General features: G+C 50.8%; 1 protein-coding gene across 2 annotated transcripts in view; it reads right to left on the bottom strand.

Moving 5' to 3' along the window:
* DLGAP2 (DLG associated protein 2) overlaps positions 1–15,821 on the bottom strand; it is a 970,849-nt gene that overhangs the window by 951,628 nt on the left and 3,400 nt on the right. The gene's annotated exons all lie outside the window — the stretch shown is intronic.

Below are 15,821 nucleotides of genomic sequence, written 5' to 3'. Positions count from 1 at the left end.
CCCGGCAGCTGTGTGTAGGATGGTTTCAAGCCGAGAGAGACCGGAGGCGGGAGATCTGCTAAAAGAACGTTCTCCTGACTCAAGCTCAGGGTGAGGAGGGTGTGGCTGGGCAGAGCCTGCGTGGGGAGACAGCGCTCAGGGGAAGGGGGATTCCAGGTTCAGCCTCAGTTTCCGCATCTATGAAAGCTGAGGCCTGACCAGACGATCTTTCAGCTTGCATAGGTCTTGACTCAACAGAGTTCTGTCCTGAGATCCCAGTATGATCTCAGGGTAGGCTGCATATGAATATGAAATCAGGGAGATGAAAAAAAAGTAAATCCCAACTTTCACACCTAAAGAACAAGGCCTGGATGGAAAACCAAAGTTCATGCATTTTTTATTGTGTCTTAAAATCTTCTCTAATATATAAGATTGCATCTGTGCTAATTAAAAACAGATCAGAGAACATTCTCAATGTCAGCTCCATGGTTTCTAACCCAACCTGGCCCTCAAAGGCGGTCCCACAACGACATCGTCTTTGCCGTCAGCCCCAACCTGCCCACACCTGCTCCCTATCCGGCCATGACCATGCCTGGCCCACTTGCTAAACAGCATGAGCCCATCACCTTCTCCCGTCTCCTATGCCACCAGCAGTATCCCCCCCAGACGCCAGCTCCTCCCAGACACTCGTGGCCCCAACCCGCTCATCCTCACACAGCCCCCAGCAAGGTATTCCAGCCACAAACTCAGCGTGTTCTTATGACTATTAGCACAAAAAAAGCCGCTAACATGACCTAAAAGGCCCTCACAGCCTGGCCCCTAACTGCCTTGTCAGCCAAATACCGGTTATAACCTAAAACAGGACCCTAGCGGCTCAGGGCACCAAGCCTCAGGTAAGCACTAGGATGACCCTGGATCCCCCGACCACCTGTGGGCACACCCCAGCATTATCCCACACTCTCCACCCGCCTCCTTCCCTGCCATGGTTTCTGGTGTGTGGGTGGCACAGCCCTGACAGTCAATTGACAAATTCAGAATCCTGGCTTCCCAGCCAACACCCAGCACTTTGCTCTTTCAAAAGCACACCTGGGGGCATCACCCAGAGGACGGCACCCCAGCTGGGGATCTGACACACATGGGGCCCCTCTCCAGGCCCCCTAGCCATGCCAGCCGCTAGTCAACCCACAGTCCTCAGATTCACAAAGAGCTCCACCCCTCCCTCTCTCCCTGGGCCTGGAATACATTCACCCCCACCTGCCCCTCGTTCCTACTCACGCACCAGACCTCACACCTCAAATGCCGCTTCTCCGCTGGGCTTCCAGCTGCTCCCACAGTCAGAGCTCAGTTATAATTAAGATTATTAAAAACATGTTTAGCAATTCACTTGCTTGGCAATTAATTTTTTTTCTTTTTGAGACAGGGTCTTGCTCTGTCGCCCAGGCTGGAGTGCAGTGGCAATCACAGCTCACTGCAACCTCTGCCTCCTGTGTTCAAGTGTTCCTCCCATCTCCCGAGTAGCTGAGACCTCAGGCAAGAGCCCCCACGCCTAGGTATTAATAATTTGAGTATTTTTTGTAGATACAAGGTTTTGCCACGTTGCCCAAGCTTGTCTCAAACTCCTGAGCTCAAGCAATTCACCCACCTTGGCCTCCCAAAGTGCTAGGATTACAGGATACTTAATATTTATCTCCCTCCACAGACTCTAAATCCAGAAAACACTGTCCTCTGTATTTACAAAAGCACACTCAAGGCCAAACCCAGTGAGGGACACACTGGGGGTTATTGGTAAATACATCAAATGAATGAATGACTCATCAGTAATAAACCCTCGTGTCCTCTTTTGTATCCACCAGACATGCCAAAAGCCTCTTCTAGAAGACCATATTGTGAGCAAGCTTCCAGAAACTCAGCCAAAGTCATCCAGATTATCACAAATTGCTAGGATGATTTACCAGATGGACTAAAAATATGTATCTTGGTTACAACAGCACACTGCTTGCTTCCTTACTTGCTTTTTTTCTTTCTTTTTTAGAGACAGGGTCTCACTCTGTCACCAAGCTGGAGTGCAGTGGCGTGTGTGGCTCATGGCAGCCTCAGACTCCTGGACTCAAGCGATCCTCCCACCTCAGCCTCCTGAGTGACCGGATTACTGGTGCACACCACCATGCCTGGCTAATTATTTTTTAGAGGTGGGGTCTCACTATGTTGCCCAGGCTGGTCTCAAACTCCTGACCTCAATCTTCCCTCCTTGGCCTCGCAGAGCACTGGGATTGCAGGTGTAAGCCCCGCACCTGGGCAGGCACACTGCTTTTCAATCCCTATTCTGTGGCCTTGGACGTCTAAGTAATATTATTCCTAGCTTCAGGAACGTAAGATAATGACACTGCAACCATTGTTTCTAAGCAAAGCTCACTGAACCTTTCAGGAAAGGCATGGGCACAGAGGAAGGCAGGTAAAACATGCAAAACCCAGGCCGAAAGTGTCTTGGCTTCTGTCAGTCCTGGATTTTTTAGGAAGAGAGTTGTCCCATTGTTTAAGGTTCAGTGAAATCTGTCCATGTCAGTGTGGAACAGAACCGTGTGTCAGTGAGATCGGGAAGTACTCGGCAGAGTTGGCGACGGGATACGGCAGTGACAGTGGACGAAATCCGTCAGGGTCTCGCAAAGTGAGCCCCAGGAAAGGTTGTCAGGTGTGGCTGGGACGCCTGCTGCAGAGGCTGCCGTGAGGACTCGGAAAGGCACCTGATCTGAGGCCTCCCACGCTGTACCACTCACTCCCCACGTGGAGCGGTGCGGTTCCATCCTCACTCAGATCTGCCAGGCAACCGAAGCTTCCCACCCTCAGAAAGAGGGCTCCAGGCAAGGTAGACAAGAAGGCAGGGCTGTTGAATGGGGAATTAAAGTGCACCTGACACCGCGCCCAGGGTCGGCCCGTGGTGGGGCCGCGAAGGCCCTTCCTGCGGCAATCACACGCCGCACCGCGCCGCCCGGACAGGAAACGGCCGACCCCACGGCGGCCCACTCAACATACCCAGCTTTCTCTGTGCAGGATTTTTTAAGACCTCAAGGAAAATAACAAGTATTTATCTATTTCATTATCTTGGATCATCTTAGAGGACACGCAAGTGTGTCTGTGGAGTGGATAAGGCTCCATCTGGTGAGCCGGCACGTTTTTATACCCACAGCATTCGAATGATGAATAAAGAACTCGAAGCTCCTAGGGCTGCTGGCTGCTCCACCAACTACTTCCTCCCTCTCCATCCACCGTCTGTGGCTCCTTTTCATTCCCCCAGGCATCTGTGCCTCCCTCTCAGCGCCTCGCGGAGAACTTCTCATTCCTGCAGGTCTGTCCACAATCTCAAAAGACCTTCAGCGGCACCTCCCATCTCACAGGCATCCCTGCAATTCTTCTTTCCTGGAAGTAAATGTTCGCTGGCGTAGTTATGATTTCAAGGCCCTTATTCTTCCTAGTGACTGAATGTCCCATTTCCCTAGAGGGGGCTTCAAAACAAACCCACCAGGGCCCTGTGAGCTGGAAACCCAAGAAAGAGCAGGGGACGGCCTGACCTCCCGGCACTGGTGAGCCTCCAAAGACGCGTTTGTAAAGTTTGTGTTCCGTGATACAGAGCAGCAATTCCTCATAAATACCGGGCCCCTCCTCTGCGTAAGTGACGGGGTCCGCAGCAACACCCATCCGGCCCTAAGCGGTCAGGTCTGCGTCCCACCAGTAAACCCTCCTGGCTTCTCAGAACCCTCCTGGCTTCTCAACACCTCTGGTTGCAGGTTTGCAAGACACATGGTAACACTTGCCCCAAATACACCAAGTTAAAAGACAGAGCTGTAATCTGTTCCCTTAAGGAAGAGGTGTAGGAAAGTGGTAACCACACAATGACTGCAGTTTCTGCCGTTTTTCACATGATAATAATTGGGAACCGAGTGAGGGTGATCCACTTAAACAGCTGAGAGTCGCCTACAGAAGGCTGCTCTGAGGACCCCAGAGGTCGCCTTCTTGGAGGGGCAGGAGTGGGAGGCTCTGAGCCCGACGTGCAGTGCCCTGGGCCCAGCCGACAGTATCATGAAGGTCTCCCCTACCCACCTTGAAGGCACAGCATCCCGTCACAAGCATCCCTCAAGGGCACAGCCTGCACCTCCAGGCTGCCTCTCTCCAGTGCCTCCTGGCCGCCATGGCATCTCCCCGTTTATAAATTTCAGGAGGGAATTTAAGCCTTCATCTTCTGGGCAGCCCCCACTGTGCTCAGCAAGGACAGAGCTGTCTGGAGAACCTCCTGCCCCATCCCCTCCTTCTGACTCCACACCAAGCATAGGCGGCTGGTGCTGACCCCACACCGAGCCCAGGCGGCTGGTGCTGACCGGGCCCTGCCATCAGGCCTCTGCCTGGCGGCACGACCGAGATTGGCACATCTGTGCTTCTTGCCTGACTGTGGCTCTCCGGCGGGCAAGACCAGGCCTCATCTGCCCTTTAATCCATGGGTGTGAGACCGGCCCGGGCACACTAGGCTGGAGGAAGGCGAGGCATGAGCATTGAGCAACGTGCACCTTGCCTTCTGCGCCCACTGGTGGTAGCCGGCAGCCTGGGGATTATCTGAGTCTCTCCTCTCCCTCTCTGCTTCATGGCAGGACAACTGGACAGAATGATTCAGCCCACACTGACCTCACAGTGAGGAAAAAGTGGGAGACCAATGATTTCAGCACAGGGAAGGGAGAAGGGGGTGCAGGCAACCCAGCACCCTCACCTCGAAGCGGCAAGTGAGATGAAAACTGGGTGAGTGAACACCAGGGAAGAACCTGGGCCACACCAGAGCCCTGGAGGGAGACCCTCTTCTAAGCCAGAAGCAAATGACCACTTCTTTAAGGAGAAAAAAAATGGGCCTGAAAAAAGTGTCAGATGAACTTCCTATAAGGACTTACTATAAAGTGTCAGATGAACTTCCTATAAGGACTTACTATGAAGTGTCAGATGAACTTCCTATAAGGACTTACTATGAAGTGTCAGATGAACTTCCTATAAGGACTTACTATGAAGTGTCAGATGAACTTCCTATAAGGACTTACTATAAAATGTCAGATGAACTTACTATAAGGACTTACTATAAAGTGTCAGATGAACTTCCTATAAGGACTTACTATGAAGTGTCAGATGAACTTACTATAAGGACTTACTATGAAGTGTCAGATGAACTTACTATAAGGACTTACTATAAAGTGTCAGATGAACTTCCTATAAGGACTTACTATAAAGTGTCAGATGAACTTATTATAAGGACTTACTATAAAGTGTCAGATGAACTTACTATAAGGACCAGAAAGAGACAAGAAACTCAGAGACAAGTTTTTCTAACCTCACGATCCAACTTCCGTAATGTCCCCGGGGAAAAAAATATGAGGCCTGGTCACAGAGTCACGAGACGGCCGAGTGAGGACAGATGGCGCGACACCTCCTGAGCGACTGTCAGAAACTTGCAGCAGCCAAACACCAGGAAAACGCTCCTTTCCACGAGAGGATGGCCGGAGATCCAGGAAAATGCTCCTTTCCGTGAGAGGGTGGCCGGAGATCCAGGAAAATGCTCCTTCCCGTGAGAGGGTGGCCGGAGATCCAGGAAAATGCTCCTTCCCGTGAGAGGGTGGCCGGAGATCCAGGAAAATGCTCCTTCCCGTGAGAGGGTGGCCGGAGATCCAGGAAAATGCTCCTTCCCGTGAGAGGGTGGCCGGAGATCCAGGAAAATGCTCCTTCCCGTGAGAGGGTGGCCGGAGATCCAGGAAAATGCTCCTTCCCGTGAGAGGGTGGCCGGAGATCCAGGAAAATGCTCCTTTCCGTGAGAGGGTGGCCGGAGATCAGCGTGCCTACCGACACCTGTTTGCTGATGGAAAAAGAAGCTTCCAACCGTCCACAACTCAGCCAACTCACCTTCTCAGACAAAACGAGCCGGGGCCCAGTGACAAATATTTCGGAACAGGTCTATTTTTGGACTGGACATTTTTCAGAAACTAAATTTAGCCAATTTGAATTCTTTTTAAAAAATGCTATCCCATTAGGCCTTTTGAAATAGGGAATCTACATCTCATTATAAAGACAGGAAACACTGTTCTCCCATCAGCCTGAAACACTGCAGACGGCGAGCCGTGGGGGCTGCATGGTAGATGGACCTGTGCAGGGGAGGGCGGAGGCAGACCGGGATGTGGGCCAGGTGCCGTGGAAGTCAGACATCAAAATGTACGGCCGTTAATTATCTGTAAAATAATAGCTCACTTGTAGTTTTTAAAAGTCATGTTTTCTGTTACCATTCATTGGCAATTTTGACCATTTTCAAATGCTTATTAACTGAAATATTGGCTTCTTTAATTTTCTGTTTATATTCTTTGTCAATTTTTATGCACTCAGGAAAACCCTTATATTTGGAGTATTAACCGGTTTCTAAATACACTTGATTTTATTCCTGTAGACATAGAAAAGATTCGAAATGTTTTCATTAGATCAATCGATCCATTTCTGTTCCTTTTTATTTTGGTTTCTTTTGTTACTTTTCCTGTGACGTCCTCCCTGAGCCCACTCTGCACAATCGCCTTGACCTCCCCTCGTGTGGCAAGGATGCGGCACGGCCAGTGCCCACGGGTGGTGCCAGGGTGGATGCGCGTGTCTAGAGAGAGCTCTGGCAACGGCCTCCAGACTCAGGAACGTTCGCCCATGCAGCCGGCCTAACCGGCCCTAGGGAGACCCAGGAAAAGCCCTTCCACCCAGGAATGTGAGCGTGCTTGGAAGACAGGCTTTGCAGAGGTGATGAACTAAGGCTCTTTGATGAGGGGATAACCCGGGGCTTTCTGAGTGGGCCCTGACCGCACTCACATGTGTCCTGCTTGAGAGATCTGAGATGGATGGAAGGGGAGACCCCAGGAGAAGAGGAGGAGGCCACGTGGAGACAGAGAAGCAGGCTGGAGTGATGAGGCCACAAGCCAGGATGCCTGGAGCCATCAGAAGCCAGGAGAGGAGGGGACCCTCCCCACACCTCTGGAGGGAGCAGGCCCCAGGATACCTTGGCTCCAGGCTTCCAGCCTCCAGCACCAAGAGCGCGCTCTGCCGTTTCGGGCACCCGATCTGTGGTAACTTGTTATAGCAGCCCCTAGGAAACTAAACACACCCATTAATCAATAATTCTGTTCCTAGGAATTGACTGGAGAAAAAAAAGATCTACATTTTCAGAAAATATTCAAAAAAATACATTAACCCCAGAACAATGGCCAAACATTTTTGTAAGTAACTGAAATGTCAAACAATAGGGGAAAGTTTTAATCACACTCCATACGGGAACATTACACATCGATGAAAATTAACTTATAAAAGGATGTTTTGAATATACAGGCAAATTCTTAGAAAAGAATATAAAGTGAAAAAAAAACAAGGTAATTTCCAATTCTGATTTTTAAAATAATTAGGAGAAGTCTGGAAAGAAACACACCAATAAACTATAATAATTTCTAGGTCACGGAATTATTGCTGACTTGTAATATATTAATTAGCTTCTAAATACTTAGCAGATAAAAAGACCAGAAATAAAAGAAAAGAAGGCCAGGTGCAATGGCTGATGCCTGTAATCACAGCACTTTGGGAGGCCGAGGCAGGGGGACTGCTTGAACCCAAGAGTTTGAGACCAGACTGGGCAATATAGCCAAACCCCAGCTTTACTGAAAATATTAAAAGTGTGGTGGTGTGCACCTGTAGTCCCAGCTACTCAAGGGCTGAGGCAGGAATATCACCTGAGCCCAGAAAGTCAAGGCTGCACTGAGCTATGATGATGCCCCTGCATTCCAGCCTGGGTAACAAGCAAGGCCCCCTCTCACATACAGAAAAAAGAAAAGAAAATGTACAAAAGTAGCCTGCTCACCTCCCGTTATACCACCAGATACAGAGAGAGCAAAATAGATTGTAGGTGAGAAGAATCTCAAGAGATGTAACAAATATAATAAAAGTTGTCAGAAAGCAAAGATCTGGCAGCCAACGAAAGGTCTCCGCGCCGCACAACAAAGCAGTAACCCCGGGGTTTCACCCATCCTTGTCCACTGGGAAGCCACTGGCTGCTTTCCGAGAGCATCCCAGTCCACTGCAGAGGAGGGCTCTAAGGAGCGGGCAGGTGCTGATGGGCAGTGCAGAACACCTGTGTGCCACCACGAGCTCCTCAGTGAGGCCATTTGCAAATTCACAGCACCGCAGGGCTGGATGTCACCCAATATATGTAAGCACTTTTTAAAAAGCTAAAGTGCGTGGTAAATGATACGAGATATTCTATCTCTCGGCTCCTCTATGCTTTGGACTCTGCTGCTTTTCTGGGAGAAAACAAATGCCAGGTAAGGGCTTCCTCCTCGGGTCACAGTGTGGGATATGCTGACCCACCAACGCCCACATGGCCCACTCTGTTCCCACCCAGGGGCCCTGCACCCCTGTGGCTACGTGGAGCATGCGGCTGAGCTGAGCTGGCTCTGTGGACCTCAGTCTTGGAGGAGCGAGACAGAGACAGAAAGCACCAGAGCCTGCCCATCCCACCACGGAGTCCCCCACGGAGCCACCACCAGAGTCCACCCATCCCACCACAGAGGCCGGCCCCATCCCACCGCAGACCCGCCCATCCCACCGCAGACCCGCTCATCCCACCGCAGAGCCCCCCATCCCACCGCAGACCCGCCCATCCCACCGCAGACCCGCCCATCCCACCGCAGACCCGCCCATCCCACCGCAGAGCTCCCCATCCCACCGCAGACCCGCCCATCCCACCGCAGAGCCCCCCATCCCACCGCAGACCCGCCCATCCCACCGCAGACCCGCCCATCCCACCGCAGACCCGCCCATCCCACCGCAGAGCCCCCCATCCCACCGCAGGCCCGCCCATCCCACCACAGAGCCCCCCATCCCACCGCAGGCCCGCCCATCCCACCGCAGAGCCCCCCATCCCACCGCAGACCCGCCCATCCCACCGCAGACCCGCCCATCCCACCGCAGACCCGCCCATCCCACCACAGAGCCCCCCATCCCACCGCAGGCCCGCCCATCCCACCACAGAGCCCCCCATCCCACCGCAGAGCCCCCCATCCCACCGCAGAGACCCCCATCCCACCGCAGAGCCCCCCCATCCCACCGCAGACACGTTCATTCCACCACAGACCCGCCCATCCCACCATGGAGCACACTCATCCCACCACAAAGGCCCCCACCCTGCCCCATCCTGGAGCCCCCGCACCCAATCCTGCCACACAGCCTGCCCGTCCCGTCATGGAGCCCCTCATACTGCTGCAGAGCCCCCCACCCCCGCCCTGCGCCCCGTCCTACTTCAAAGGTCACCCTCCAGCCGCCTGTGTCCTCCGCGTTCCCCTCGGCTGGAACGTGGCCTGTCCCAGCCTCTCCGCCTTGCTTTTCATCAGCCAGAGCTTGTTTCTGGAACTTGGGACCAAAGATGCCTAAGCGAGGCCCGGCGGAGAAGCCCATCGCGTGACTGGCGCGGAGCATGGTAAATGGTGCATTTGTCACTACGGCTCGATGGTTTTCAGAGGAGGTTTCTCCTTCCCTGTCTGCTTTATGATATCTTGCAGTCTTTTTACTGAATGAAAACGTAAAGAAGTCCCGTAAGACTCAGAAGTATGACGCGTTGTGGGTAGTACACAAACTCAGAAGAGCAGTCAGAGGCGGGGCAGTGCCCGGCAGCCCCTCACACTCTAGAGCCTCCTGGTCTCTAGGACAGGCCGGCTTTCCAGTGTCGCTCTCCCCAGCCCCCCGAGAACCAGGACAGCTCAGGCCAGGAGGGCGAGTAAAACCACCCCAGGCCCAGGGCAAGGGGCCCATTTCCCTTCCTAGCCACTGGCTCGGACATGGTGAGATGTGAGGGGAGGTCTTCCCGAGAACTCACAGTAAGGTTTCCTTACTGCAAAGGTGTCCCCATCACGCCTGCAGGGCCGACATCACCCTAACAGGGGCACCGTCCTCGCATCATGCCTTCAGGACCAGCGTCCGCAGCCAGCAGGGGCTACACCGGGATGGTGAAGGCCACAGAGCAGACAGAGGGAACCTGGTTGCTGAGGATGCCCGGCTGTGGTGCTTTGTGGTAAGAACGCACAAATCCTCAGTTTCTGTTTTGTGTGGGACTTTCTATTATATGCAGCCAAAAGTATGCTGATACAGCAAAAAAACAAAAACAGAAAATCAAAACCACTGTCCACCTCAGCACCTGCCAGTGTGCAGCTGGCATTCTGATCCACATTCATTCAGCAGATGAGGGGCTCATGCCCAGCAAGGTGTCAGGTGCAGGGACACTGCCATGACCACAGTGGACGGCCCTCTATCCCACAGATCTTCTCTCCCAGCCCGTGGCACTGGATGGTGGAGGCTGCGCCCCCAGCTCTGGAGCCCCCCTGCCGACGTGGCCTGTGGCTCTGTGTGACCCCACACGGGATCCAATGCGCCATCTGACCCCTCTTCCCCAGTTTCCTCATCCGCAGCCTGCAGACAATGCCAGCACTGACCTCACAGGGCTGGCATGAGAATTCTATGAGTTAATATGAGTAACTCGCCCAGCAGTGCCCAGCACATAGGAAACGTTCAACAGATGCCAGATATGATCAGAAAACATCGAAAATAAATAAGTCGCATGGGGTGTGAGAAGGCAAGGGAGCTGGGAGCACTGGAGGGATGGCACCCACTTTGGCCTGGTCTCTCTGAGAAGCTCCACATGTGGGAAGGCTTGGAGGAAAGCAGCGACGCACCCCCGGCCTTCCTGCAGGGCACACGGGCCCCGACCAGGACCATCACTGAAGTTCAGGCACCAGTAAGGAGGCCTGGGTGACGGGGGCAGAGTGTTGAGGGGATGACCTTGGCTGGCCTGAGCAGGCCGTGAGGGGTGGTGCGGACCCCCATAGGCAGGTGGCCTGGCGCTGAGTGAGATGGAGATGTGATCAGGCTTCTAGGGTTCCTCTTTCTGGAGTCGGTATCCTTCCAGTCTGGTCTTTATGCTCCAAACTCAGTAGCTTTAGGGAAATGGGATGAAAGTATTCATACTGTCTTATAGTCCGTTCTCTTTACTTAATATGGTATGAACACCTTCTTATAGAATTAGGTACTTAACTTTCATGTTTTTGTGGATGTGTATTTTTTATAACATTGCTGTACCACCATGAATTTACCCAATCCTGTTACTGCTGTTTTCCAATATTATACTATGAAACAAAACTGGAGGGAACATCCACTTAGCTAACTTATTGTAAATTCATGATTATTTCCTTAGGAAAAGTTTCCAGAAGTGAAATTGCTGGGATAGTTACATGTAAAGAAGAGTTTTTTTAAAATTGAGTGCTGCGACTCTTGAGAAAATATCATTAGAGAAGCAAGTAGCTGGATAAATTGAAGACTGAGAAATACTGTTTGGTTGCTTTAAAGAACTACGGAACTCAAGTTTCACCAACAAAAATAAAACTTTGAATCTAATTATAGTGACAACCTAGAACATTTTGTTTCAGACCCAGTAGTGCTTCATTCTGAAATGGCCACAACAAAAGGTTGAAACTACAATTCTCAATTGTTTATGCAAATTTCTAAATTATATATAGTATAGCCAGAAAACAGATGTTCGGAAATTTGCTCAGAATGTCAAAATATTACAAAGAATGTTACAAAATGGAAATTATTTTTAAAGAGCTAAAGGTTTCATATTAAAGACCAAGAAAAAAGGTAAAGAACCTGCCGCTGTGCTTGTCTCCAGCACCCACAACTCGGAAGCAGCGGGAGAAGGGACGGTGGCGTAACGAGGCATTCACGGTGTGTATTTACGAGTTCATGCAACTGTTTATCCAGTGACATGGCCTAAAACCCTGCGGCAGGTGTGGGGATGGCCTGGGCTACCCCTTCCCGCCATCTCTGCTGCACTGAGGACAGCATGCGGACAGACTGGGGGATGGGGAAGCCGGGACCCAGTCCAAGCGAGGAATTCGGAGGCTGGGAGCATGACCTCACTCAGGCATCGGGGCCGGGGAAGCAGCATTCCAACTAGGTTTGAGAGAACAGACATGAGGAAAGGACGGAATGAAAAGCACCGTCCAGTGTGGGTGAAGCCAGAGTGTTGCTGGGGCACAGCCCAGGCAGGGAACAGGGAGTGACCGTGGGAAGCAGACAGCCAGCACCCCGGGAGGGCGACGTGGCCGGAGAAGAGGCAGGGAGTGACCGTGGGGAGCAGACAGCCAGCACCCCGGGAGGGCGACGTGGCCGGAGAAGAGGCAGGGAGTGACCGTGGGGAGCAGACGGCCAGCACCCCGGGAGGGCGACGTGGCCGGAGAAGAGGCAGGGAGTGACCGTGGGGAGCAGACGGCCAGCACCCCGGGAGGGCGACGTGGCCGGAGAAGAGGGAGGGACGCAGGTTGGGCTGGGGAATCTGTACCTCGAGGAGGCGTCAGCCCCTCTTCTGCACCTTCACCCATTCAGATCATTAGATGCGACCCAGGGCCAGGGTTCAAGGGTGATCAAGACCCTTCCTCACAGAGTGGCTATTCCAATACATCAAAGACAAGGAAAGTGGGAATTACAAGGTGGTGAGAGGTGTCACCCTAACAGTCAGAGCACAGAGAAACCTTCCCAACCCAATCTCGTGGGTCGGGGGTATATGTGGAGAGGAGACGCTGCCTCTAAGCTTGCTGAGCGAACGAGCACTTCTTCCCAACGCACAAGATGAGAGACAGAAGAGGGAAGCGGCGCTGGGTCTGAGAGAACCACGATGATGGCTCCATCCATAGACTGCCACGGCCACCAGAACAAGTCACTTCCTTCAGCTAAAACAGGTGTCTGGGCATTTAGATGCAAAGACTCAGAGGAAACGTGAAGGCACGTGAAACTTGAGAAACTGCTGTTGTCTGCAGGACACACGACGTGAATCCACGTCTTCAGCCCTAAACCACAGTAGCTTAGTGAGTGATCCAGACATGAAGACCCGGCCACGGAAATCACATGCAAATACCAGCAAAAGGCATCGCGCAGTGGCCCATGCCCACAATCGCAACATTTTGGGAGGCTGGGGTAGGCTGATGGCTAGAGCCCAGGAGTCAGAGTCTAGTCTGGACAACATGGTGAAACCCCATCTCTACTAAAAATACAAAAAATTAGCTGGGTGTGGTGGTGCACGCCTGTAGTCCCAGCTACTCGGGAGGCTGAGGTGGGAAGATCGCTTGAGCCCAGGAGGTCAAGGCTGCAGTGAGCTGAGATTATGCCACTCACTCCAACCTGAAACACAGGAGTGAGACCGTCTCTAAATAAGTAAGTAAATAAATACCAAGAAGAGGTCATCAGTGCTGAGGGTAGGCTGTGCATGTGAGTTTTGCTTTTGGTTTATTTCAAAGAAACCAAATCAAGACAAAATCATTAAAAAATACTTCTGTATTTTTAACTGTTATATATTACACAACCCCAGCCCCTGAATATAAGATCTACCCTCAGAACATCTCTTACAAGTTAGTGCCAGAGAAAATTTATCTTCACCAAAAAATGAGTATGCAACGTCTACCCTGAAAGCATGATCCTCAGGTTGAACATGGCTTTGTAGTTTTGGGTTTTGTTGACTTGACTCCCTGGAAGCTCAGTGTCAAACGTGATGCCCAGAGAATTACATCCATCCTCATGGTTATCACATGTGTTTCTTCCGATTTTCTATTTCTATTTTCTAATTAGCATTTTTTCCCTTGTCCTTCTGTGGTTAAGTTGGGTCCAAAACTTTTTGGAAAGTGGCAAGAGATATACAAAAAAGTAAAACAAGACCAGAAATAATAAATAAAACAGTTTTGAGAGAAATCAAAGAGTTGCTTGATAACTTCCATTGTGGACTGACTCAAAGTAGGCCTCAATTGTATTTTTTCATGATAAAAATAGTCAAGACTAATCCAGCATTTCCTACGTGCACCATTCTTATCACTTTACAGTCATGAATTCATTTAATCCTCCTTAACCCTATCAAGTTAATATTGCATTGGCCCCACTCTTAGTGATGAGAAAACTGAAATACGGTGAGGTCAAATAAAGAGCCAAATGCAGCTGGGAAAAGTGACTCACTCCTGTAATCCCAGCACTTGAGGAGGCCAGGGCAGGAGGATTCCTTAAGGACAGGAATCTAAGGCCAGCCTGGGCAACACTGCAAGACCTCCGTCTCTACCAAAAAAAAAAAAAGTAAAAATTAGTTGGGTGCGGTGACATACACCAACTACTAGACAGGCTGAGGTGGGAGGATCACTCGTGCCCAGGAGGTCAAGACTGCAGTTAGCTATGATCATGCCAGTGCACTCCCGCCTGGGTGACAGAGGGAGACCCTGTCTCTAAAAAGCCACTTGCAATGCTGTGCAAAAGTCACAGGACAAACATTCGTTACACACAAAAGGATGTTTTTCAATACCGCCTAACTTAAAATACATACTCTATGGACCCTTGAGATCATTCCCATTTTTCTTCTTTTGTACAGAGTATGAAACATTTTAAAGACAACGATCAGTCAGATTCACAGGTTACTTTAAAAATTTTTAACACAAGTTTACAGATGGGCTATTTCCAAATGTTTATTCATTGTTTAAAATGGTTGATTTAAATTTTTCTCTTTTTTTCCTGCCGATACACACGATGTACCATATAAGAAACAGTACCCGAAGATGAATAAGCCTTTCCCTGCAACAAGAGGTTTAATGTGGAAATGTCTGAAGAAACTAAAAGCCCATACATCCCATTTGCTTGTCAGGGACAGAAAACTCAGTTCAAAGAAACAATCTCCTGGTTTATGTAACTGAAAGTCACGGGGTAATGATGGTTCAGGCATAACTTAGTTCAGAGCTTCCAACAGCATCCTCAGGACCAAGCTCTCTGCATAACAGCCGCCCTTCTCCTCCACAGACAGATGAGGAAGGTGTCATTTCCAGACAGGCCATCCCTGCAAGGCTGTGCACTGATGCCACAACTGCAGGCCTTACACCTTTCCCGCTGTTTTTCCTAAAGCTTTCCTCTCCTTGAAAGTTCCCGCTCTTCACTCATCCAATTGCTCTTGAGAGGGAGTTAGGGCTCCGGCCAGTCAGGAGCCACCTCTGACGGGAAGTAGGGTCCGCCAAGCCAACCCCATGAGGTGGCAGGTGTTCCCTAAGGGGAGCTGGCTGCTGCCTGGAAAGGGAAGCGTACACTGAACTGCAAATACACTGGAGTCTGCAGTAACGGGTCTAGAAAGCTCAACTCCTGAAGGCCCGCCAATAAATACAGACAGGACACTTCCAGAACTAAGGCAACTGACATCCCACATGAAGACACTGCCATCAAGTCAGGAGAGGTGCACCTGCAGCGGACACCCATCACCGGGATGTCAGAACACCCAGGCCCCTCTCCTGGAGCTAAAGTTAAGGGACTGCATGTCAAGGCCCATGACCTGAGGACTGGGAGAAGATTTTCATAGGCAGATGAAGTCAGTGCACAGAAGAATGACATGAAAAAAGAAAAACAGAGCTTTACAAATGAGCTCCTACTGCCTTTGCTGAGGAGATTAATTTGTTACTGCTGTTAAGCCTTGGAAGGGAAAGGTGGCTACCAGTAGATGCAAGATTTAAACTAGAGTTTGCACACCCTACGACCCCATGCCTGGTCAATGCCAAAGCCCATCTGCTTAACTTCCCTAGAAATTAAAGTCTTTTGTCATGAGCACACGTGAAATCACTATGCTCAGTTTTTGTACGCACAAGTACCCAGGAAACAACAAAACATATTGAAGAAGTTAGTGGCACTAGAAAGCCTCGTATGATGAAAACTAGTTGGTAAAACTACGGTTGATTAAGAATAATTTTTAA

Source organism: Homo sapiens, chromosome 8 (genome assembly GCF_000001405.40).
Source record: "Homo sapiens chromosome 8, GRCh38.p14 Primary Assembly".
Lineage (NCBI taxonomy): Eukaryota > Metazoa > Chordata > Mammalia > Primates > Hominidae > Homo > Homo sapiens.
The sequence above is the reverse complement of the archived record's forward strand: the minus strand, read 5'-3'. Positions and strand labels throughout refer to the sequence as shown.